The sequence below is a fragment of the Homo sapiens genome, chromosome 16 (genome assembly GCF_000001405.40).
Source record: "Homo sapiens chromosome 16, GRCh38.p14 Primary Assembly".
Taxonomy (NCBI): domain Eukaryota; kingdom Metazoa; phylum Chordata; class Mammalia; order Primates; family Hominidae; genus Homo; species Homo sapiens.
Genome location: NC_000016.10, coordinates 16,868,697 through 16,869,970, shown reverse-complemented (window position 1 = coordinate 16,869,970; position 1,274 = coordinate 16,868,697). Strand labels below are relative to the sequence as shown.

General features: G+C 42.0%; 1 annotated feature.

The window, feature by feature from the left end:
• Nucleotides 482-981: an enhancer, noted in NCBI's record as "H3K27ac hESC enhancer chr16:16962847-16963346 (GRCh37/hg19 assembly coordinates)". NCBI's record gives its function as "activates a minimal SCP1, AML or CMV promoter by ChIP-STARR-seq in naive H9 embryonic stem cells {active_cell/tissue: H9 hESC(naive)}" and the evidence as "EXISTENCE:reporter gene assay evidence [ECO:0000049][PMID:30033119]".

Here is a 1,274-nt window from a genome sequence, read left to right as displayed (position 1 = left end):
CCTTGTGTCTTTTTGCATTTCTCATCAGATGGAAGCTTGGCTCCTTGCGATGCCTTTAAATCACCTTTTACCCAGATACACAACAGTGAGATCATGCTTAACAGTGTGGAACTGCAAAATCCACACTTCTCAGAACTGTAACTACCAAAAAACACATTGAAACCAGCATAATAAGGTTTTTAAATAGACAAAAAGCACTTCTAGTTTTCATCTAGTTCTCAAAGTAGTACCAGACGGGTGTCACGAAAGATAGAAATGGATTGCTCCAGCCTGGGTGACAGAGCGAGACTCCATCTCAAAAAAAAAAAAAAAAAAAAAAAAGAAGAAGAAGAAATGGATCACTCCAGCTAGCTACGTTGTGCAAGGGTCAGAAGGAAGAGAGACCCCCTGGTTATTTACAGGGATGGAGAGTTATCATAATGGTATGTGGGAAGGAAAGCTGGCGTAAGAATATGCACATAAGTGACATTCCTATCTTGGGTTCCAGAACTCTCCATAAAATAAGGCGTGTAGAGTTTTTTAAATAAAGGGTAATGTTGCCCAGAGATGTTCAGCAGAATGCCTGTTCCTCTCTTTATTTATATCACAAGTTTATGTGGAAAGACATTTACCTTTGAAATCATTGACTGCACTCTCTCCTCCATATCACTCTCATTACTCCTCACTCTCTTTCCTTTCCCTGACTCCAGCAGCAACTCGATTTAACAGCATTTATTTGCTTAATAAAGGGGCTGCAGAAAAGCAAAGGAAAAGGCTTTAAATTTCAAATGCCTCATATTGTGAGTTTCCAAACGTGAGCTTTTGAGCTTCAAAAGCCCACGGCTAAAAGGAATTAGGGCATAAATTCTGCAAAATATAGAAAAATTGCTATTGGGTAGAGACAAGTTCCCACCTCCCTGAACTTTTCCCAGACTGAAAGCATTTCTTGTGTCTGGGAGAAGGGAAGGGGGAAAGAGCAAAGGACTATGGAAGGGAAAAAAGTCAGCTGGGCCTGGAATGAAGGAAGTACACACACCTGCAGTGAATCTTAGAGAGGTATGGAGACTTCGCAGTGGCTTGATCACAGCTCACTGCAGCCTCAACCTCCCAGACTCAAGGGATCCTCCTGCCTCAGCATGCCCCAAATGTCTCCTGGAACAAAAGCTCTTGTGACTTAGCCCAGGAACTTCCTGGAAGCCCAGCTAGCTCCCATTAACATTGAACTCCTTCCCTCCTTATTAACGAGTTAAGGATGCCAGGGAATAAAAACACAAGTTGGGATCATTTTTCTTAAA